Source organism: Homo sapiens, chromosome 16, assembly GCF_000001405.40.
Source record: "Homo sapiens chromosome 16, GRCh38.p14 Primary Assembly".
Taxonomy (NCBI): domain Eukaryota; kingdom Metazoa; phylum Chordata; class Mammalia; order Primates; family Hominidae; genus Homo; species Homo sapiens.
The window spans coordinates 3,022,473-3,042,624 of record NC_000016.10 but is presented as its reverse complement, the minus strand read 5'-3'; the positions used below and the strand labels follow the sequence as shown (position 1 = coordinate 3,042,624).

The following is a 20,152-nucleotide window of genomic DNA, read 5'->3' as shown; positions in this document are numbered from 1 at the left end:
CTCTCTCATCCAGGCTGGAGTGCAGTGATGCAATCATGGCTCACTGCAGCCTTGACCTCCTGGGCTCAAGGGATCCTCCCACCTCAGCCTCCCAAGCAGCCGGGACTGCAGGCATGTGCCACTAATTATTCTTTATGTTTGTAGAGATGGGGTCTTGCTCTGTTTCCCGTGCTGGTGGATGTTTTGTTACATACATCAGCCCTAGGAAGCTAATACCTACCTCAATAAAGCTGAATTTTTTTTTTTTTTTTTTTTTTTTTTGAGATAGGGCCTTGCTCTGTCACCCAGGCTGGAGTACAGTGGCCCAATCTCAGCTCACTGCAGCCTCCACTTCCTGGACTAAAGTGATCCTCCTGCCTTAGCCCTGTGAGTAGCTGGGACTATAGGCACACAGCACTATGGCCTGCTAATTTTTGTATTGTTTGTAGAAACGGGGTTTTGCCATGTTGCCCAGGCTGGTCTCAAACTTCTGGCCTCAAGTTATCTGCCCGTCTCAGCCTCCCAAAGTGTTGGGATTACAGGCGTGAGCCACTGTGCTCAGCCAAAGCTGATTTTTTTTTTTTTTCTGAGACAGACTCTTGTTCTGTCACCCAGGCTGGAGTGCAGTGGCACATTCTCAGCACACTGCAACCTCTGTCTCCCAGGTTCAAGCGATTCTCCTGACTCGGCCTCCCAAGTAGCTGGGATTACAGGCATCTGCCACCACGCCCAGCTAATTTTTTGTATTTTTAGTAGAGAGGGCGTTTCACCGTCTTGGCCAGGCTGGTCTTGAACTCCTGACCCCATGATCCACCCACCTCCTCGGCCTCCCAAAGTGCTGGGATTACAGGCATGAGCCACCGTGCCTGCCCTGATTTTTTTTTTTTTTAATAAGTGGGAGAAAACACTTGGAAACATAAGCATACATCAAAAAAACAAGTTGCAGAACAATGAATTCAGTGTGAAATATTATATATAAAGGTTTTAAATGCTCCAAACAATACTACCTACTGTTCATGGACTTAGCATACGTCATAAAAGCCTGGAGGCACCTGGGTCTGGACCCAAGTTATTTCTACCAGACTGCTTCTGGGGAAGGGCAAGAGGAGAGTGGGGTTCTGCTGGCCTCTGGATGCCTAGCATAGACTCCCACGGCATTGTGAGGTCTGACAAGGCTTCCCCAGGGATGAGACCCCTCCTCAACTCCCAACCAAGACTCAGAACCCCCCAGGGCTCAGCGGGTGGATGGAAAGGCGGGGAGGGCATACCAAACTAAGCACCCTGGAAGCTGGCTTGTTTGGGCTGGAGAGCAGGTGAGGCTGGGTGATCATCCTTCCCTTCTTTTTTTTCTTTTTTGAAATGGAGTCTTGCTCTGTCACCCAGGTTGGAGTGCAGTGGTGCGATCTCAGCTCACTTCAACCTCTGCTGCCCGGGTTCAACTGATTCTCCTGCCTCAGCTTCTCAAGTAGTTGTGATTACAGGCGCGTGCCACCACGCCCGGCTAATTTTTGTATTTTGTTTTGTTTTGTCTTTTGTTTTTGTTTTTGTTTTGAGATGGAGTCTCACCCTGTCTCCCAGGCTGGAGTGCAATGGTGCAGTCTTGGCTCACTGCAACCTCCGTCTCCCAGGTTCAAGCGATTCTCATGCCTCAGCCTCCTGAGTAGCTGGGACTACAGGCGCCCGCCACCACACACGGCTAATTTTTTGTATTTTTAGTAGAGACGGGGTTTCACCATGTTAGCCAGGATGGTCTCAATCTCCTGACCTCGTGATCCACCTGCCTCGGTCTCCCAAAGTGCTGGGATTACAGGCATGAGCCACTGCGCCCAGCCAATTTTTGTATTTTTAGTAGAGATGGGGTTTCAGCATTTTGTCCAGGCTGGTCTTGAGCTCCTGACCTCGTGATCCACCCACCTCAGCCTCCCAAAGTGCTGGGATTACAGGCATGAACCACCGTGCCCGGCCAATCCCTTCCTTCTTAACCAGACATGTCCCAGCCTCCCCGGGCCTTCCCTGAGGTCACTCTGTCCCTCCTACTCATTTTTCTCCTGGGATCGGCAGGGAGCCTGGGGGTGAGGGGAGGGCTGAGGTCCCCTGCATGCTGGGTGGCCAGGACTCTTAGACCCAACAGGGAGATGGAGGCCAGGACTCCTGGGTCCAGAGGAGACTGAGGACCAGATTCAAATATTCAAAGCCAGGCACACTGGCTCATGCCTCAGATCCCAGCGCTTTGGGAGGCCAAGGCAGGAGGATTGCTTGAGGCCAGAAGTCGAGACCAGCCTAGGCAACGTAGCAAGACCGCATCTCTACAAAAAATAAAAAAGTTAGGCTGGGCGTGGTGGGTCACGCCTGTAATCCCAGCACTTTGGGAGGCCGAGGCGGGCAGATCATGAGGTTGGGAGATCGAGACCATCCTGCCTAACACGATGAAACCCCATCTCTACTAAAAATACAAAAAATTGGCCGGGCGTGGTGGCAGGCACCTGTAGTCCCAGCTACACGGGAGGCTGAGGCAGGAAAATGGCGTGAACCCGGGAGGCAGAGCTTGCAGTGAGCCAAGATCGTGCCACTGCCCTCCAGCCTGGGTGACACAGCGAGACTCTGTCTCAAAAAAACAAACAAACAAACAAAAAATAAAAAAGTTAGCAGGGCATGATGGCATCTGCCTGTTGTCCCAGTCACTCAGGAGGCTGAGGCAGGAGGATCGCTTGAGCCCAAGAGTTCGAGGCTGCTGTAAGCTATGATCATGCCACTGTACTTCAACCTGGGTGACAGAGTGAGACCCTATCTCCGAAAAAAACAAAAACAACACAAATTTCCCAAGAGTGATTGAGGCTGAGAGCTAGGCAAGCTGGGATGAAGGCTCTGCTATGTACCCACAGACAAATGACTTAGCCTCTCTGAGCTGGGCTCCTCACCTGTGAATGGCGTGACCTCATAGGGTTGCTCTGAGGATGAAATAGAGTATGACATGCAGGTGAGTCATCTCTGGTGGCCGCGCGGAGATCACCAGCAAGGACTAAGTGCTGGCACTTCACACTCATTTAATCCTCACACCTGGCCAGGCACGGTGGCTCACACCAGTAATCCCAGCACTCTGGGAGGCTGAGGCGGGCAGATCACCTGAGGTCAGTTGAAGACCATCCTGGGCAACACAGTGAAACCCTGTCTCTACTAAAAATACAAAAATTAGCCAGGTGTGGTGGCACACGCCTGTAATCCCAGCTACTTAGGAGGCTGAGGCAGGAGAATCGCTTGAAACCGGGAGGCAGAGGTTGCGGTGAGGCGAGATCTCACCACCGCACTCCAGCCTGGGGGAGAGAGCGAGACTCCATCTCAAAAAAAATCCTCACATCCCTATAAGCTAGGAACTATCATCCCCATTTTACAGATGGGGAAACTGAGGGCCGCAGAGGTTAATCAGCTGAAGGGCATAGGCACCCACATCTGGTATGTGGCCAACTGGATCCTGGACCGAAGCTATGTGATGCCAGCACCCATGGGCCAAGCACTTTGCTGTACTGTTTTATTGGTTCATTTCTGGTTTATAGGTCTACGCTCCCTCCCATGGCCCAGGTGGACTGTGAACCTTCTGGGAGTAGGGCTGTAATCACTTCATCCTGGGATGAGCTCAGCCTGGCAGGAGGCGCTCAAGATGTGCTACGTGTGGGTGTGAGTGGGGCCCAGGGTGACTGGCATTTGGAGGGGACACTGAGCTTCTATTTCCAGAGGGTCACATAGCAGCACCCAGGGGAGGCTGGGATGTCTTCAGTCCTCCAGTGGCTACCAGGCTGCTCCCACAGGTGCAGTGGGAGAAAGTGTCAGGCTTGCTGGGCAATGTGGCTGTAAGACAAATCTCTGGCTCCCCTACTCTCTGCTGGCAGAAAACCCTGTCCCAGCCCCAGGACCCAGGAGTCCCAGTTCCTAAGTCACCCCTCCAAGGAGTCCTTGCTCCCCTTTTCCCACAAGCCAGGAGTCCCAGCCCCCACCCTCCTCCTATTTTTCTAGAACCCAAGTAAGTAGCCCCCAGTCCCCCAAGACTCAGGAGTCCTGATCCCCAGCCAGAGGTGCACGGACCCAGCTGACACCAGCCAGCCAGAGCTGATGTGCACAGCCCCTTCTACCTCTGCACTCCGTGACGCCAGGTGAGTAGCTGGAAGTCAGCCGAGGAGCAGGTATTGCATCATGGATATTGGCAAATGCAACGAGCGAGGGCTATTGTTTTAGCCGGGGAGCCTGTTGTTAAACGCTTACCAGCACGCCACTGCTCCCAGCCTTCCATCTGTCCTGCTCTCCAGGCCAGGAGCCCCTGTCACGAGGCCCAGGGAGCCCTGGAGTCTGGAGATAAATCGTGACAAGACACAAGGCCATGGATGGGGCATCACTGCTGCCCAAGCCACCCTGGGTCCCCAGCCCCGGACCTTCCCATCTCCACACCAAAGCCCCTGTCCCAGACAAGAGCACGGTCCCCAGCTCTGCATAACTGAGGAACTGAGAACCCCAGGTGTGGAGCCACACGGACTCGGGCATGGCTCTGGGCAAGTCACTCTCACTGCCTGGGCTACAGTGTCCTTGTCTGCGGCATGGGAATCAGTAAAGAGCATGACCCTAAAGCCACACTTGTGCTGTTCACCTTCCAGTTCTGACCAGGGGACCCCAAACAAGGTGGAGGACCCCCCTCCGCCTCCGAGCCTCAGCTTCCTCATCTGTAAGATGGGGATGACAGCAGTTCCTCGTCATCAGGTCATCATGAAAGTCAACAAGTTGAGCCGGGGAGGTGGCTCACTCTGTAATCCCAGCACTTTGGGAGGCTGAGGTGGGCGGATCACGAGGTCAGGAGTTTGAGACCAGCCTGGCCAAAACATTGAAACACCATTTCTACTAAAAATACAAAATTAGCTGGATGTAGTGGTGCATGCCTATAGTACCCGCTACTCACCAGGCTGAGACAGGAGAATCACTTGAACCCGGGAGCGGAGGCTGCTGTGAGCTGAGATGGCACCACTGTACTCCAGCCTGGGCAAGAAGAGTAAAATTCCATCTCAAAAAAAAAAAAAAAGGTCAACAAGTTATGCCTATAAAAGAGTTTACTTGACCAGAAGCAGAGGCTCATGCCTGTAATCCCAGCACTTTGGGAGGCCGAAGCGGGAGGATTGCTTGAATCCAGAAGTTTGAGACCAGCCTGGGCAACATGGTGAAACCCCACCCCTACAAAAAGTACAAAAATTAGCTGGGCATGGTGGCATGTACCTGCAGTCCCAGCTACGGGGGAGGCTGTGGTGGGAGGATCGCTTGAGCCTGGGAGGACGAGACTGCAGTGATGGTGCCACTGCACTCCAGCCTGCGTGACAGAGCAAAATCCCATCTCTAAAAAATAAAAAAGAGTTTACTTAGCAGAATGCTTAAGATGTCAGATTCGGTGTTGTTGTCATTGCTAATAATTTCCTGCCCCACAGGGCAAGGCAGTCGTGACGGGAAAGGAGCGGAGGCTACCTCAATGTAGGATCTGCAAACAGTAGATGCTCAGTTAACTGGCCGGGCCATTTGCAACCACAGCAGGTTGGGCCAGTGCCCCCCACCCAGGTGGAAGCGACTCTCCCTCGACCCCGCCCGGCCATTCAGGCAGCCAGGGAGCGCCCCGGCCCCTCCCGCGGCCCCGCCCCTTCACCTGTGTTGGCCGCACACCTGGAGCCGCCTCCGGAAGAGGGGACCGGAGACCGCGGGGACCTCGGAGGGAGCCCGGCGGCTTCGGGTGAGAGCCTGGGGGACGCCGAGGGCCGGGCCCCTCGAGCCTGGGGAGGGCCTGGTCCGGCCGCGTCGGCGGAGAAGGTGGGGGAGCCGGGGCGGGGGCAGGGGAACCGGGATCGCCGGGGAACCGGGGGCGCCGGCAGGAACTCAGCCGTCGGGGGTGAGCCCAGCCGCTTCTCTGGGCTTCCGACGCCTGGGGCTGGAGGCCCCAACACCTGGGCAGCTAGGTGCGGAAGGGGAGGGGGAGCGGTCTCCAGGTCCCTGTCTCTCGCGTGGAGGGGGGCGGGGGAGCGGGGCCCGCGAGGGCCAAGTCAGGGAGGTCCCCGGGAGCGGCCTGGGGGCGGCTGGGCTGGGACCACCGTGACACTCACGTCCTGCGAGCAGGGCTGCACATGGACACCGGGCGAGAGGAGGAGGGAGAGCACGGGTGTGTGTGCCTAGTGGGTGGTGAGCCCCCGGAGGGCTGGGGCTGGTAAAGCTGTTGTGTCGGGCCCTCTGACCCGAGCCCCTGAACCCCAGCCCCTGAGCCGCCCTAGGGGAGCCCAGGGCTCCCGTCCCCAGGGGCGGACCGGGAAGTAAACAGAAACTCCGAGCCGCGCTGCGGCCGGGCGGCCGGCACAACCTGTTACCTCGCCCTGTCCTGGGCCCCACGCCAGGGCCCTGGGAAACTGGGGGGCTGAGGGTCAGGGCTCCTGAGTCCGGAGGGGTGGGGGCATGAATGCCTGAGTCCCGTGGAAAATGGGGACTGGGGTGGGAATCCTTGGTGGGGGACATTGGAGGTGGGGACCTCTGAGTCTGGAGGGTGGAGTCAAAGCACCTGCTCAGGAGGTAGCAGGAGAATGAGGGCGAGAGACCCGGGAGGTCAGGGGCTGGGATCTGGGCTTCTGGCAGGGGAAGGAGCTGGATTCCTGGGGGCGAAGATACCTCAGTTCCCAAGCCTTAGGGTCCTGCATTCCTGAGAGAAGAGGCTGGGCCCAACTCCAACTGCTGAGTCCCTGAGAACCTGGGTTCTGGGAACTGTCTCAGATGGCGAGGGGCTACAAGCCAAACTGCTGGGTTCTGGGAAGAGAGGGGACAGGGAGCAGAGGTGGCCTGTGGCCCTGGAGCACTGGAATGAGCTTTCCTGGGGACAGAGATTGTCTGGCAGAGGCCAAAGGCTGGGCAGGTCATTTCCTTCTGCTTCCTGCCTCAGTTTACCCCAGGGACATTAACGGAACTGGGTAGCCAAAACACAGGTCATTAACCCTTTGTGGCCCAGGAAGCCCTGGCTGCAGGACCGGGCAGGCTGGCAGCAGGTGGAGAATTCCTGGAGGGCCAGGTGCTGGGCGGAGGGTGAGCCCCTGTCAGGCTGCAGAGTAGAGTGTCCCGCAGCCACCTGTCCCCGCAGATGCTGCAGGTGACATGAGCTCTCCAGATGGGCCCAGCTTCCCGTCCGGGCCGCTCTCAGGGGGCGCCTCTCCCAGCGGCGACGAGGGCTTCTTCCCCTTTGTGCTGGAGCGGCGGGACTCATTCCTGGGAGGGGGCCCAGGGCCTGAGGAGCCCGAGGACCTAGCCTTGCAGCTGCAGCAGAAGGAGAAAGACCTGCTGTTGGCCGCGGAGCTCGGCAAGATGCTTCTGGAGCGAAATGAAGAGCTGCGGCGGCAGCTGGAGACGCTGAGCGCCCAGCACTTGGAGCGTGAGGAAGTGAGCTAGCACTGGACGGGGTGGGTGGGTGGGTGGGCAGGGGAGGACGGGTGGGCCTGGAGAGGACAAGGGAAGGGAGTCAGGCAAGGGAAGGAGAGAGGAGCTGGGGAGGACAGCCGGGCGAGGGGGGCACTTTGGAACAGGTCAGAGCTGGGCCCAGTCCCCCTGGCAGTGTTGCCCAGTGGCAAAGAACATGAACTCTGGGTGCCGGGCACAGTACCTCACACCTGTAATCCCAGCACTTTGGGAGGCCAAGGCAGGAAGATCACTAGCCCAGTGTTGGAGAACAGCCTGGGCAACGTAGTGAGACTCTGTCTCTACAAAAAATAAGAAAATTAGCTGGATGTGGTGGTGGCACCTGTAGTCTCAGCTACTCAGGAGGCCGAGGCAGGGGGATCAATTGAGCCCAGGAATTTTAGAGTTTGAGGCTGCAGTAAGCTATGATTCTATGATCCACTGCACTACAGCTTGAGCAACAGAGTGAGATCCTGAAAAAAAAAAAAGGAAGGAAGGAAGGAAGGGGAAGGAAGGAAGGAAGGAAGGAAGGAAGGAAGGAGAGAGAAAGAAAAGAAAAAAAGGAAAGGAAAGGAAAGGAAAAAAGGCATGAACTCTGAGGATTAAGACCTGGATTCAGGCCAGGCATGGTGGCTCACACCTGTAATCCCAGCACTTTGGGAGGCTGAGGTGGCTGGATCACTTGAGGTCGGGACTTCAAGACCAGCCTGGCCAACATGGTGAAACCCCGTCTCTACTAAAAATACAAAAAAAATTAGCCAGGCATGATGGGGTGTGCCTGTAGTCCCAGCTAATTGGGAGACTGAGGCAGGAGAATCACTTGAACCTGGGAGGCAGAGGTTGCTATGAGCCAAGATCATGCCACTGCACTCCAGCCTGGGTGACAGAGCGAGACTGCATCTCAAAAAACAAAAACAAACTGGGTTCAGACCCTCGTCCAGCTGTGTGACCCTGGGTCAGCTGCTGGCCCTCTCTGGATCTTGGGTCCAGCTCCTCAGCAGTATAGCGGAACACCAGGCGACAGTCATGGGTGTCCACTCCTTGCCTGGCACTGGGCTGAGTGCTTTCCATGACTCTCCATTGATTCTTGCCCAGCCCAATGAGGTAGGAACAGTTCCCTCTGCCCAGGTTCTATTTTTGGCCCACTTCTTGCTCTGGGGCTCACATCTGGTCTCCTGAACACCCTCCTTTATCTGCTGCGTCGGCCCCAACCACTGCCCTGAGCCTGACCTGGGTAGCTAACCCTCTCCACCAGGCCACCTAGTGGGCATCTCAACACAAGTGGCACTTGATTCCACGCACTCGATTCCATGCCCCCATCACCTGCTGTCCCCATCCTCGCCTTCCCAACCTTGAGGACCAGAGCCTGTGCACCTCCTTGGACTCTTTCTCTATTTTTTTTTTCTTTTTTTGGAGACAGGGTCTCCCTCTGTCACCCAGGCTATAGTGTGCAGTGGTGCAATCATAGCTCACTGGAACCTCAACTTCACGAGCTCAAGCAATCCTCCCATCTCAGCCTCCTGAGTAGTTGGGACTACAGGCACACATGCACCACCATACCTGGCTAATTTTTGCATTTTTTGTAGAGATGAGGTCTCACCATGTTGCCCAGGCTGGTCTCAAACTCCTGGGCTCAACCAAACTGCCTGCCTCAGCCTCCCAAAGTGTTGGGATTACAGGTGTGAGTCAATGCGCTCAGCCAACCTTTCTTGAGTGAACAAATTCCCCCCAATATCCGCAAGCCCTTTTGATTCTTCTAAACTCCAACCACCCACTGGTCGGCTCTGCAGCCTCCAAGCTGATCACAGATCACAGCCTCCATCCCTTCTGCCACAGACACTCCAGCCACCTTCTCCTGAGTCCCCAGCTTCCACTCTTTTATTATTGTTGTTATTTACATGGAGTCTCGCTCTGTCGCCCAGGCTGGAGTGCAGTGGTGCGATCTTGGCTCACTGCAGCCTCTGCTTCCTGGGTTCAAGTGATTCTCTCACCTCAGCCTCCCAAGTAGCTGGGATTCCAGGTGTGCGCCACCAAGCCCAGCTAATTTTTGTATTTTTAGTAGAGACGGGGTTTCACCATATTGGCCAGGCTGGTCTTGAACTCCTGACCTCAGGCGATCCACTTGCCTCAGCCTCCCAAAGTGCTGGGATTATAGGTGTGAGCCACCGTGCCCAGCCCCCAGCTTCCACCTTTGACCCCTGGAGCCCGTTCTCTAAGGGACAGCCCAGGACTTTCAAAAACTGCAAATCAGATCATTTCACTCCTCAACCAGAATCTCCCCCTCACACTTAGAATGAAACCAAAACCCTTCCCCAGGGCCTAAAAGTCCCAGAGAACTGGGCTCCTCCCCGACCTCATCACAGCAGCACCACCCCTTTCTCCCCTCCTCCAAGAAGGGCAGCCGAACCACCCTCTCCCCGACAATGAGGGCTCTTTTCATTTCCTCCAAGAACTCACGCTTGTTCCCTCAGGAACTTTGCACTTGCTGTTCCTTAATGCCTAGCCTTCTTTCTGGTGGCTCTTCTTGTCCTGCAGAAGTCGACTCAAACATGACGTCCTCCTTGAAGGACCCTCCACCCCCACCCCACTCCTTACTCTCTATCATTTCCCGGGTCTCTTTACAGCCCTTACTGTCTCCCTGAAACTACCTGGCTCCGGCATGTGTCCATGCCCTCTGGACTCTAAGCTGCTTGAAGCAGTGAACTTGGTGGTCTCACGTGCCACTGACAGCAGACCCCAGAACAAGTGGAGCTCAGGAAATGTGGGAGGATTGATAGCAGTGTGGGTGGATAGACTTAGAGATATTGTGTCCAGGCCACAAGGCATCAGCAGAGCCGAGCATCAGCCAGGACAATCTGACCTTGAACCTGACAGCTTAATCCTGAAGCTGTGTTGCCTCTGCAGTATTCGGTTAAGAGTTCTGCTGCCTGAGTTGGCATCCCTGCTTTGTGAAGTTATTGTGTGTCGGCTGGGCACGGTGTCTCATGCCTGTAATCCCAGCACTTTGGGAGGCCGAGGAGGGTGGATCGCTTAAGGCCAGGAGTTCAGGACCAGCCTGGCCAACATGGTGAAACCCCGTCTCTCCTAAGAAAACAAAAAAATTTGCCGGGCAGGGTGGCGCACGCCAGTAATCTTAGCTACTTGGGAGGCTGAGGCAGGAGAATCTCTTGAACTTGGGAGGCGGACATTGCCGTGAGCTGAGATAGTGCCACTGCGCTCTAGCCTGGGCCAAAGAGTAAAGATCTGTCTCAAAATAAATAAATAAATAAAAAATAAAAACAACAATAAATGACTGTGTGTCCTTAGGCAAGGCACTTAGCAACTCTTGAGCTTGTTCCATCTGTAAACCCAGGACGTTAGTGATTCTCCCTCTAGTGGATGAAATGAAGCAATGCAGATAGAGCCCTAATGCAGGGTACCTGCGAGTCGCTGCAGCAGCTGTGGCAATTGTCACCTTCATCCAGGCCCATCCCGCTTTGAGGGCCTAGAGAGAGTGGGCCAGAGGTTAACCCCCGATTCATCTGCCTCCCCACGCTGGGCATCTGGGTGTGCCAGGGCATTCCCCCGCTGGTCAGACAGGTTTTTGGGCCAGGGCGGGGCTGACCAGGGTTAATTAGAGGGAACTGGCTAGGAGGAGCTGGGGAGGGGGCTGGGCAGAGTCCAGGCCTCCAGAGCCCCTGGGACACAGCAGGTGTGTGCTGCCATGGGCCGGGGCTTGAACTCTGCCAGACTCAGGCGCCAAAAACGGCGCTTGCGACCTCAGGTCCAGAAGCCCCGGCAGCAGCTGGAGGTGAGTGGTCATCAGAGATCCCCCCACCCCAACCCTTGCCCCGGGCCCACGCGTCCTGTCTGCTCGGAACCTTCCCTCTAAATCTCTGGGTCTTGCTCACGCTTCCTCCCTCACTCTCCCTTGCTTTTGTGTCTGTCTTGGACACAAGGCCCCCTTAGGCTTTCTCCCTAGGTGTCTGTCCCTCCATCGCCATCTCTCTGTGCCTGCCCAGTCTCATCGGTGCCTCTCTGCCTCTGTCCCTCTGCCCTGGCCCCCACAGCGGCTCCAGCAGGAGAACCATGAGCTCCGGCGAGGCCTGGCAGCCCGAGGAGCCGAGTGGGAGGCCCGGGCCGTGGAGCTGGAGGGGGACGTGGAGGCCCTGCGGGCCCAGCTTGGGGAGCAGCGCTCAGAGCAGCAGGACAGTGGGCGAGAACGGGCACGGGCCCTCAGCGAGCTCAGCGAGCAGAACCTCCGGCTCAGCCAGCAGCTGGCTCAGGTGGGATGGCCCTGACCCCAGGGCCCTGGACAAGGTTGGGGAGGATGCCTGGGTCCCCAGCGGGGAGTAGGTGCATTGGGCTTGGTGCTGAGGCTCCTCTGTCCCTCTTTCCACCTCCCCAGGCCTCCCAGACTGAGCAGGAACTTCAGAGGGAACTGGACGCCCTTCGGGGACAGTGCCAGGCTCAGGCACTGGCTGGAGCAGAGCTGAGGACGCGGCTGGAGAGTCTGCAGGGGGAAGTGAGTGTCAGCTGGGGCTGGGGGATTATCTGAGCCAAAAAAGCCGGGCTGAGGGCTGGGAGGGGCTGCCCCTGTCCCCAGCTCTCAGGCCTTTCCCCAGAACCAGATGCTGCAGAGCCGCCGGCAGGACCTGGAGGCCCAGATCCGAGGCCTGCGTGAGGAGGTGGAGAAGGGTGAGGGCAGACTGCAGACCACCCACGAGGAGTTGCTGCTGCTGAGGCGGGAGCGGCGGGAGCACAGCCTGGAGGTGACCTGCAGGGCTGGGGGACTACAACTGCCTGGACCCTTAGCAATGGCTTCAGGGCTTTCTGGGAGATGAGGCCGGAGCTGGATCACTGGGAGGCCCAGAGGCTGGCCCACAAGAGCATGGGCATTAGCCCATGGGCAAATGGGAGCCACGGAAGGCTGTTGAGCAGGTGAGGCATGCTCTTAGAGTGCATCAGAGCCTGGCAGCTGGAAGAGCAGGGAGGGGGCTGGTGCCAGAGCTCAGGCCAGGAATGACAGCCCCTAGACCACGGCTGCGCAATGGAGACGGAGAAAAAGAAATGAAAAGAGGATGCGGTGTCTGATGTTAGAGATCAAAGGAGTCTGCACTTTGGGGTCAGCTTGCCTTCCTTCGCATCCCGGTGCCCCTTCTTACTTACTACTGTGGGACAAGCAGCCTCAGTAGCACCAATAAATGCTGCATGAAACAATTACTGAATGAGGAGGTAGACTGGGCAGGGGAGGAGATGGGGCTCTTCGAGGTGCGGCCCTGCTCTATAGGCGAGGAAACTGTATATATCCGCTGAGGGAGGTGCACGGCCCAAGGCGCCCAGCGATCCAGGAACGGGAACAGCCTGGGCCGCTGGGGTGCGGGGCTCTCCGCGGCACCCCCGTGTGGACCTGCCGCGGGATGTCGGCGTTGCGTGCGTCCCGCTGACCGCCCGCGCTTCCGTCTGCGGGACCGTCCACAGCTGGAACGCGCACGGTCAGAGGCTGGGGAGGCGCTGAGTGCGCTGCGGAGGCTGCAGCGGCGCGTCTCCGAGCTGGAGGAGGAGTCACGCCTCCAGGACGCCGACGTGTCGGCTGCCTCGTTGCAGTCAGAACTGGCCCACAGCCTCGACGACGGCGACCAGGGCCAGGGCGCCGACGCACCCGGAGACACCCCGGTGAGCTCGTGGGGCCCCAGCCCCCTTACCTGTGCCATCGAGAGGGTTGCAGGCTCCGCCTTTCCTCCTTTCCCCAATAAACTCCACACCACTAACCCATTTCTTTGGCCCACAGACCACCCGGTCCCCAAAGACCCGAAAGGCGTCCAGCCCCCAGCCTTCACCCCCGGAAGAGATCTTAGAGCCCCCCAAGAAGCGAACATCCCTCAGTCCAGCGGAGATACTGGAGGAGAAGGAGGTGGAAGTGGCCAAGCTGCAAGATGAGGTGGGGCAGAGGGCACGGTGCTGGATGCACGGCCCCTCCAGCTGTCAGTTTCTGTCTCCCATGTCCACCTCCCAGCCTTTGCCCACTAAGCTCCCTATACCTGGATCGGCTTTCATCTCAACAAACTTACTTCAAGAGCCAGCCTGTATGCCACCTCCTCCAGGAAGACTTCCTGGACAGCACCTCTGCCCTTAGTTCCACTCCCAATGCTTCTCCCTGCATCCCTCCTGCAGGGTTATACCACTCCAACTAACCCTGCTCCACCCCACCCCGCACCAGCCTGAGGGGCTCAGAGGGCTCATATCGGAGTCTCCAGCACAGGGCCACGGCTGCCTGGGGTGTCTGTCGCAGGCAGAGGAGGGGTGGGGAGAGCCAGAGTCGGGGCTGCTGGGAGAAGCAGGGAGGCCCATTGGCCCATCTGCCGCACGGCCCCCCTCCTCTGCTCACAGATCTCGCTGCAGCAGGCAGAGCTGCAGTCCCTGCGGGAAGAGCTGCAGAGGCAGAAGGAGCTGCGGGCGCAGGAAGACCCTGGGGAGGCCCTGCACAGTGCCCTCTCAGACCGGGACGAGGCCGTGAACAAGTAAGCCTCAAGCCATTGACCACCGCCCCAGCGCCCTCTGGGCCCTCCTGGGCTCCTGATTCCTCTTCTGATACGGGTTATAATGATCCCCACTCCCACCCAGGGGCCCCCTGACCTCCTTGATCTAGGTGTTTGCAGCCCTCCTCCCGCCCGGGTACAGAAGTCCCCCGCCACCCCGGCTCCCTGAGGCCCTAGCGCCCTCAAACGCGTCTTCTGCTCCTGCCCGCCTAGGGCCCTGGAGCTGTCCCTGCAGCTCAACCGCGTCTCGCTGGAGCGAGACTCCCTGTCTCGGGAGCTGCTGCGCGCCATCCGCCAGAAGGTGGCGCTCACGCAGGAGCTGGAGGCCTGGCAGGTGAGGGGCGGGGCCCGTGTGCGGGGCGGGGCAAGGGGCGGGACCGGCGCTGAGCCGACCACGGCCTCCCGCAGGACGACATGCAGGTGGTGATCGGGCAGCAGCTGCGCTCACAGCGCCAGAAGGAGCTGAGCGCCTCCGCGTCGTCGTCGACCCCGCGCCGTGCCGCGCCCCGCTTCTCGCTGCGCCTGGGCCCCGGGCCCGCCGGTGGCTTTCTCAGTAACCTCTTCCGAAGGACCTGACGGCTGGGCCCAGAGGGCTGCCCTTGCCCACTTAGGGGCTCACTTTCCTCTTCAGGCCAATGGAGCGACAGGGCCCAGATTGTCTTCCAAAAGAAGCTGATGCCCTCCCCGCCCCAGGATGCTGGGCAAGGGCTCATCGGGAGCAGGGGCTCATCCGGAGCAGGGGCCAGCTTTGTGGGGCAGGAGCTCCAGGTGGGTGGCAGGGGCAGGTGAACAGAGCTATTTTCCGAATTAATATACGTCTATCTTTTCTAGGGCAGGGATGGGGCTGGGTATTTATGTATCAAGATCGGACAGAGTAATATATAAATCACTCCACCGATTTGGCCCCCATTCATAGAAAGAAAGAGCATGGTAAAAAAGCCTGAAACTTTATTGTAAAAAAAAAAAAAAAAAGAAAATGAAAAACACTCTAAAACCCTGAGCTGGCTGGGGGTGTCGTCAGAGATCAGAAGGACAGGGAGAAGGCTCGGTAACCCAGGTTGGTGAAGACATCCACCCGGCAGCTGTTGCCTGCAGCTGTCAGGACCTGGAGGAAAGAGGGGCATGACTGGCCTGCCCACACCCCTGCCTCCCAGCCGCTCCGCGGCCCCTGCCGGACCCACCTTGCACTCAGGCGCGGCAGGCTGCTGGTTGAGGCTGAGGCTGAGCAGCCCTGGGGAGGAGCCAGGCACCTGGGCCTTCAGCTCCCCGCTCAGCTGCCACTGGTTGACGCAGCGGCCCTGGCCAGCTGACAGAATCTGCAGAGGACAGGGAAGGTGCTCAGGGGTCAGGACTGAAGGGAAGAGTCAGTGGGGGTGGCAGAAGTGAGACACAGGGCCTCACCAGGTCCTGGTAGAAGGTGACGTGCTTCTGTGGCGCCCGGATGGGGAAGATGGTGGTGGGTGTGGAGGATCGGAGGTGCCAGAGGGTGAGGGCTGGGCCCCCTCCACAGACCTGGACAGAAAGGTGGGAGTCCCCAGCTGTGAACCACAGGCCCACAGCTGACAGGGCCCGGAGCTGCCATCCCATCCCACAGTCTGCCCAGCTCACCATCCAGTCGGAATCAGTTGCCAAACATCCAATCCAGCGCCCATTGTGGGGCCTCGAGCACTCCTGGGATGGGGAGGGGAGGAGGGAAAGAGGTGAAGACCTGGAGAATTCAAGGAGTTGGGGGAGAAGAGGACAATGGCCACGGTCACACCCTCACCTCGTGCTTATAGACCTCGATCGTCTGGACCTCCTTGGCTGTGCGCAGGTCTGCGGGGAAAGAACTGTGAGTGGTGCCCCACTTGCCTCAGCCTCCTTCACTGCCATCTTGCCCTCCAACCAGCCACCTGCTTACCCCAAAGTCGAACAGCTCCATCCTCGCCACCTGACAGCACCTCTGGGCTCCTTTCCCGCAGTGCCAGGCAGTGGATGTAGTCTGTGTGGCCCCGGAGGACCCTCTGCATGTAGAGGGGCGATGTCAGGAGGAGACCTAGGAAGAGTGCCTCTCCCTGACCTAGACCTGCTCTAGGGCTCCAGGACCCTGCTCACCGTGAAAGTCCCAGTTTCAAGGTCCATAGTGTGCAACTGACAGTCTCCCCCAGCCAGGATGAGGGAATTCTCCTGTGGAGGAGCAGGATGAGGCAGAAAGTCAATGTCAAATCAGGATAGGCAGAGGGTGAAGGATCAAAGTTTGGACCAAGAACAGTCACATGGGGCTCAGACCTTGGGGACCAGCAGCAAAGCGTTGATCTCAGGCACTTCCAGGCTGGTCCTGGGGAAGGAAAGGCAAGGTCAGTGAGGAAGTGGCTTCACCCTGATGCACCCTCTATCCACGTGGCCCTGCTCACCTGTATGGAGGCTGACGACGCCACAGCTCCTTACAGCCCTTCAAAAGAGAAAATACCAGGTGACCTCAAAGGCTCTCTCTGGGTCCAGGCACCCCAGCCCTTTCCCAAGCTCGACTCCTTACCTTCTTGAGCATCTCCGCCCAAAGCCAGGCCTTCACCTCCCCATCCCCAGCACTAAGCAGATGTCGATCGGTGGAAACCATGCTATAGACGGGCCCATCATGGGCTAAAGAGAAATGCAGAACTGAGTGAGCCAATCCCACCCAAAGTCCTGAAGCCAGACTCCACAGGTATACCCACCTTGGAAAGTCACCACCGGCTTCTTACTTTCCTCTTTGGCTTCTGAGCTCAAAGCAGAGGACAAGCTGCAGGGACAGCGGAGGGGACCCAGGAGTCAGAAACGGGGGCATCCGTCCCATGAGGGCCAAGTGCCAGGGCTAATGGGTGGACAGCGGCAGAGGGTACCTGAAGATGGCAATCTGCCCGTAATTGTTGCCAGCCGCCAGAAACTTCCCACATGGTGAGACGCTCTGGGAGAAGATGGTCATATGGAGCCGCTGCAAGGCCTGGAACACCTCTGTCTGCAGGGAAAGACTGGATGAGGCCTGCCTGGGACGTATGAAACCTCCCATCCACAGATTCCTCCCTGCTTCCCCCAAAACCTGCCAGGCCTCCCACTGTCCTGACTTCTCAGCCTTCTTTTGAGGCGGCCCCGCCCCAAGCCAGCACCTGCCCATGCAGTCCCATGGGTGGCTCCAAGAAGACACTGAAGAAGGGGAGAGTTGAGGTGATGCCTCAGGGACCTCTGAGCAAGCACCCAGGCCTCTCCTGCCAGCTTCCTCAACTGACAAATGGAGCTCACAGAAGATTCCATCACAATTAGATGAGCTAGTGTATAGACAAGAGCTTTACATGGGGCTGTCACTCAGTGCTTAAGCCGGGTGTGGTGGTTCATGCCTGTAATCCAGCGCTCTGGGAGGCCAGGAGTTTGAGAGCAGCCTGGGCAACATAGTGAGACTCTGTCTCAAAAAAAATTTAAAAATGTGGGGCCGGGCGCAGTGGCTCACGCCTGTAATCCCAGCACTTTGGCAGGCCAAGGCAGGTGGACCACCTGAGGTCAGGAGTTCAAGACCAGCCTGACCAACATGGAGAAACCCTGTCTCTGCTAAAAATGCAAAATTAGCTGGGAGTGGTGGCGCATGCCTGTAATCTCAGCTACTCAGGAGGCTGAGGCAGGAGAATTGCTTGAATCTGGGAGGCGGAGGTTGCGGTGAACCCAGATGGAGCCACTGCACTCCAGCTTGGGCAACAAGAGTGAAATTCCATCTCAAAAAAAAAAAAAAAAAAAAAATTTGGCCGGGCGTGGTGGCTCACACCTGTAATCCTAGCACTTTGAGAAGCCAAGGCAGGCAGATTACCTGAGGTCAGGAGTTCGAGACCAGCCTGGTCAACATGGTGAAACCCTGTCTCTACTAAAAACACGAAAATTAGCTGGGCATGGTGGCACACGCCTATAGTCCCAGCTACTTGGAGGGCTGAGGCAGGAGAATCGCTTGAACCTGGGAGGCGGAGGTTGCAGTGAGCTGAGATCGCGCCACTGCACTCTAGCCTAGGTGACAGAGTGAGACTCTGTCTCAAAAAAAAAAAAAAAGTGCTTTGCAAGAACTAGAAAATTAAAAAAAAAAAAAAAGTACCTCTACTACCCCAACATAGAAAAACGTACTGATTTATAATTCCTACTCTCTGACTTGCGTTAAGCCCCTGAAGCACTTCTGGGTTACTATCCCGCCCCCCTGGTCAGAGTCTGAGTCCCACAAATAGCCCAGGCAAAACAGGGCTCAGGGCACGATTCCCTGCCCGCCCCGTCCCAGCCATGCGTGAACTACAAACCCCAGAAGGCAACGCGCACCACGTCCGTCTCACCTGACCCAGAGGCACCGCGAGCGGCACAGCTCGCTCCATCTCCAGAACTACAAGTCCCAGAGTGCTCCGCGCGCGACGCAACCTCACGAGGCCTTACGTGCCTAGAGCGGTTCCTCTCCGTGGCGCCCTACCGCCTTCGGCGCGAAGGTGGCTGGTGCGTACCGTCCCGAACCCTAGGAGCCGAGGTGAGCGCCGCGAAGACCCCCGACATTAAGAAGTGGTGTCCACCGCAGCCCCCTTAAGCCGGATACCCTCCCCCACCCCGAGGAGCAAGCCTGCCTTCCGCCACGCGCCGCCCGTCTTCCGCGCCCGCGCAGAACCTCGCGGCTGTGCCCGCCTAAAGCCACGCCCATCCTCTCTTGGCCACGCCCTCAGAGACTCCTCCCCTGTCGCCCAGATCCCACCCGCAGGACCCCAAAACCCAATGATCCTGCAGCAGCCCTTGCAGCGAGGCCCCCAGGGAGGGGCCCAGCGCCTCCCGCGGGCCGCCTTGGGGGTGACTTGGGGCCTGGACGCCAGGTGCGTGTAGGGGACCAGGGTGGGCCTGACCAAGGGCCGCAGGAGCTTTGGCTGGGTGCTCAGGACTGGTCTGCAGGATGAATACGGGGTGGGGCGAATCGGCGGGGCTTAGGCGTGAGCTGAGATGGGACTGGGGCTGCGGCTGAGGGTCGAGACTTCCGAGGTACCCTGCTGGATGGTCCAGGAGAGCGGGGACCGGCACCAGCTGAGACAGGAATGGGCTTGGGGCTCCTGGCTGATGCTGCAGGCTTAGGCGGGCAGATCCTTGGGAAGGGGCCAAGAGGGTGGGGTGCACCAGGCTCTCTTTTTTTCCCAGCTCCCCTCTCCGAGGAGCTGTGCCCATGAGCACCAAGCGGCGCCTGGAGGAGGAGCAGTGAGTTTGGGGGCAGGGAGGGACTCCCAACAAGATCTCTGTCACCTCTGGTCCCCAACAGGCTGCCTCCTGTGTCAGTATCCCAGCCTGCCTCTCTGCCATCTCTCCCCAGGGAGCCTCTGCGCAAGCAGTTTCTGTCTGAGGAGAACATGGCCACCCACTTCTCTCAACTCAGCCTGCACAATGACCACCCCTACTGCAGCCCCCCCATGACCTTCTCCCCAGCCCTGCCCCCACTCAGGTAGGTTCCTCCACTGGCCAGGCCTTCTGCAGAATCACAGGCGGTCCTCACAGCTGACCTCAGGCCCTGCCTCATCGTGCCATTTTTAGCTCTAGCTGACCTCTGGGTTGTTTCCCATCTTGGCTCTTTGGAAAGTGCTGGGAACCCAGGAGCCCCTGGGGACCTGGACCTGGTGGGAGGTGCTCAGCTAGGCCAGCCTCAGCTCCATGCCCTGACAGTCATTTCCTCTTCTAGGAGCCCTTGCTCTGAGCTGCTTCTCTGGCGCTATCCTGGCAGCCTCATCCCTGAGGCCCTCCGTCTGCTGAGGCTGGGGGACACCCCCAGTCCCCCCTACCCTGCAACCCCAGCTGGGGACATAATGGAGCTCTGAGTGCTGGTGGACAGTGCCCCTCCCACCTTCCTTCTTCCCCACAACAGAAGAGACCAGCGACTCCCGCAAAGGGACAAGGTTCCTCCCTCTCCTGCAGAGTAGGCATCTGGGCACCAAGACCTTCCCTCAACAGAGGACACTGAGCCCAACGGAGTTCTGGGATGGGAGGGGTGGGAGCATGGGAAGGGAGGCATCCCACCCCCAAGAAGAACTGAATAAAGATTGCTGAGCAAAGGAAGGCTTCAGTCTGGAACCTGGGGCTTTTGGGGATGGTGGAGAGGGCAGAGGCGCGGGATGCTGGGGTTTCTCCTCAAGATCTTCCCTGGAAAACTGTTAGGGCCAGCCAGGTCCTTGCCGGCTGAGTTCCAGGCATTGAGAATGTGTGAGTCA

At 58.1% G+C, this 20,152-nt stretch overlaps 3 protein-coding genes and 1 long non-coding RNA gene across 20 annotated transcripts, besides 10 other annotated features; 2 read left to right on the top strand and 2 right to left on the bottom strand.

Annotated features, from left to right (window-relative positions):
• Positions 1 to 3,491: 3,491 nt before the first annotated feature.
• Positions 3,492 to 10,144, bottom strand: LOC100128770 (uncharacterized). Its single transcript, NR_047572.1, has 8 exons — positions 10,074 to 10,144; positions 9,883 to 9,954; positions 7,631 to 7,727; positions 5,665 to 7,287; positions 5,230 to 5,346; positions 4,919 to 4,995; positions 4,613 to 4,790; positions 3,492 to 4,317 (listed from the first exon to the last, which is right to left on the bottom strand). It is a non-coding gene; the product is annotated as an uncharacterized LOC100128770 (long non-coding RNA).
• Positions 4,084 to 4,971: an enhancer, noted in NCBI's record as "H3K27ac-H3K4me1 hESC enhancer chr16:3087655-3088542 (GRCh37/hg19 assembly coordinates)". NCBI's record gives its function as "activates a minimal SCP1, AML or CMV promoter by ChIP-STARR-seq in naive H9 embryonic stem cells {active_cell/tissue: H9 hESC(naive)}" and the evidence as "EXISTENCE:reporter gene assay evidence [ECO:0000049][PMID:30033119]".
• Positions 5,681 to 14,943, top strand: BICDL2 (BICD family like cargo adaptor 2). 4 transcript variants are annotated; one of them, XM_005255135.5, is made up of 10 exons: positions 5,681 to 5,731; positions 7,115 to 7,410; positions 11,475 to 11,690; positions 11,813 to 11,929; positions 12,030 to 12,176; positions 12,886 to 13,080; positions 13,196 to 13,345; positions 13,795 to 13,925; positions 14,157 to 14,277; positions 14,352 to 14,943. In XM_005255135.5, the coding sequence occupies exons 2-10, from the start codon at positions 7,129 to 7,131 to the stop codon at positions 14,517 to 14,519; spliced, it is 1,527 nt and encodes a 508-aa protein (XP_005255192.1). In that variant the 5' UTR covers positions 5,681 to 5,731; positions 7,115 to 7,128; the 3' UTR covers positions 14,520 to 14,943. The 4 variants fall into 4 exon arrangements, with proteins under 4 accessions (XP_005255192.1, NP_001356596.1, NP_001096645.1 ...); NM_001369667.1 differs by having other exon boundaries at positions 7,099 to 7,410; NM_001103175.2 differs by lacking the exon at positions 5,681 to 5,731 and having other exon boundaries at positions 7,084 to 7,410.
• Positions 9,540 to 9,619: an enhancer, noted in NCBI's record as "active region_10293". NCBI's record gives its function as "activates an Ori minimal core promoter by ATAC-STARR-seq in GM12878 lymphoblastoid cells {active_cell/tissue: GM12878}" and the evidence as "EXISTENCE:reporter gene assay evidence [ECO:0000049][PMID:35858748]".
• Positions 12,463 to 13,267: an enhancer, noted in NCBI's record as "H3K27ac-H3K4me1 hESC enhancer chr16:3079359-3080163 (GRCh37/hg19 assembly coordinates)". NCBI's record gives its function as "activates a minimal SCP1, AML or CMV promoter by ChIP-STARR-seq in primed H9 embryonic stem cells {active_cell/tissue: H9 hESC(primed)}" and the evidence as "EXISTENCE:reporter gene assay evidence [ECO:0000049][PMID:30033119]".
• Positions 14,292 to 14,351: a silencer, noted in NCBI's record as "silent region_7105". NCBI's record gives its function as "represses an Ori minimal core promoter by ATAC-STARR-seq in GM12878 lymphoblastoid cells {active_cell/tissue: GM12878}" and the evidence as "EXISTENCE:reporter gene assay evidence [ECO:0000049][PMID:35858748]".
• On the bottom strand, positions 14,875 to 18,590 carry THOC6 (THO complex subunit 6). Of its 4 annotated transcripts, none has more exons than NM_001347704.2 (14): positions 18,539 to 18,590; positions 18,260 to 18,432; positions 16,802 to 16,917; positions 16,637 to 16,701; positions 16,459 to 16,562; positions 16,337 to 16,374; positions 16,212 to 16,260; positions 16,038 to 16,109; positions 15,844 to 15,946; positions 15,709 to 15,758; positions 15,552 to 15,614; positions 15,345 to 15,455; positions 15,125 to 15,259; positions 14,875 to 15,048 (listed from the first exon to the last, which is right to left on the bottom strand). In NM_001347704.2, exons 2-14 carry the CDS (start codon positions 18,296 to 18,298, stop codon positions 14,968 to 14,970), a joined length of 1,026 nt encoding a protein of 341 aa, NP_001334633.1. In that variant the 5' UTR covers positions 18,299 to 18,432; positions 18,539 to 18,590; the 3' UTR covers positions 14,875 to 14,967. The 4 variants fall into 4 exon arrangements, with proteins under 4 accessions (NP_001334633.1, NP_001334632.1, NP_077315.2 ...); NM_001347703.2 differs by having other exon boundaries at positions 16,802 to 16,913; NM_024339.5 differs by having other exon boundaries at positions 18,260 to 18,590.
• Positions 14,880 to 15,686: an enhancer, noted in NCBI's record as "H3K27ac-H3K4me1 hESC enhancer chr16:3076940-3077746 (GRCh37/hg19 assembly coordinates)". NCBI's record gives its function as "activates a minimal SCP1, AML or CMV promoter by ChIP-STARR-seq in primed H9 embryonic stem cells {active_cell/tissue: H9 hESC(primed)}" and the evidence as "EXISTENCE:reporter gene assay evidence [ECO:0000049][PMID:30033119]".
• Positions 17,967 to 18,610: an enhancer, noted in NCBI's record as "H3K27ac hESC enhancer chr16:3074016-3074659 (GRCh37/hg19 assembly coordinates)". NCBI's record gives its function as "activates a minimal SCP1, AML or CMV promoter by ChIP-STARR-seq in naive H9 embryonic stem cells {active_cell/tissue: H9 hESC(naive)}" and the evidence as "EXISTENCE:reporter gene assay evidence [ECO:0000049][PMID:30033119]".
• Positions 18,268 to 18,577: an enhancer, noted in NCBI's record as "active region_10292". NCBI's record gives its function as "activates an Ori minimal core promoter by ATAC-STARR-seq in GM12878 lymphoblastoid cells {active_cell/tissue: GM12878}" and the evidence as "EXISTENCE:reporter gene assay evidence [ECO:0000049][PMID:35858748]".
• On the top strand, positions 18,339 to 20,005 carry HCFC1R1 (host cell factor C1 regulator 1). 11 transcript variants are annotated; one of them, NM_001288665.1, is made up of 5 exons: positions 18,339 to 18,413; positions 18,493 to 18,778; positions 19,095 to 19,151; positions 19,264 to 19,392; positions 19,627 to 20,005. In NM_001288665.1, the coding sequence occupies exons 2-5, from the start codon at positions 18,684 to 18,686 to the stop codon at positions 19,760 to 19,762; spliced, it is 417 nt and encodes a 138-aa protein (NP_001275594.1). In that variant the 5' UTR covers positions 18,339 to 18,413; positions 18,493 to 18,683; the 3' UTR covers positions 19,763 to 20,005. The 11 variants fall into 11 exon arrangements, with proteins under 11 accessions (NP_001275594.1, NP_001002018.1, NP_001294999.1 ...); NM_001002018.2 differs by having other exon boundaries at positions 18,339 to 18,444; positions 18,657 to 18,778; NM_001308070.1 differs by lacking the exon at positions 18,493 to 18,778 and having other exon boundaries at positions 18,339 to 18,444.
• Positions 18,611 to 19,255: an enhancer, noted in NCBI's record as "H3K27ac-H3K4me1 hESC enhancer chr16:3073371-3074015 (GRCh37/hg19 assembly coordinates)". NCBI's record gives its function as "activates a minimal SCP1, AML or CMV promoter by ChIP-STARR-seq in naive H9 embryonic stem cells {active_cell/tissue: H9 hESC(naive)}" and the evidence as "EXISTENCE:reporter gene assay evidence [ECO:0000049][PMID:30033119]".
• Positions 18,648 to 18,847: a silencer, noted in NCBI's record as "silent region_7104". NCBI's record gives its function as "represses an Ori minimal core promoter by ATAC-STARR-seq in GM12878 lymphoblastoid cells {active_cell/tissue: GM12878}" and the evidence as "EXISTENCE:reporter gene assay evidence [ECO:0000049][PMID:35858748]".
• Positions 19,238 to 19,337: an enhancer, noted in NCBI's record as "active region_10291". NCBI's record gives its function as "activates an Ori minimal core promoter by ATAC-STARR-seq in GM12878 lymphoblastoid cells {active_cell/tissue: GM12878}" and the evidence as "EXISTENCE:reporter gene assay evidence [ECO:0000049][PMID:35858748]".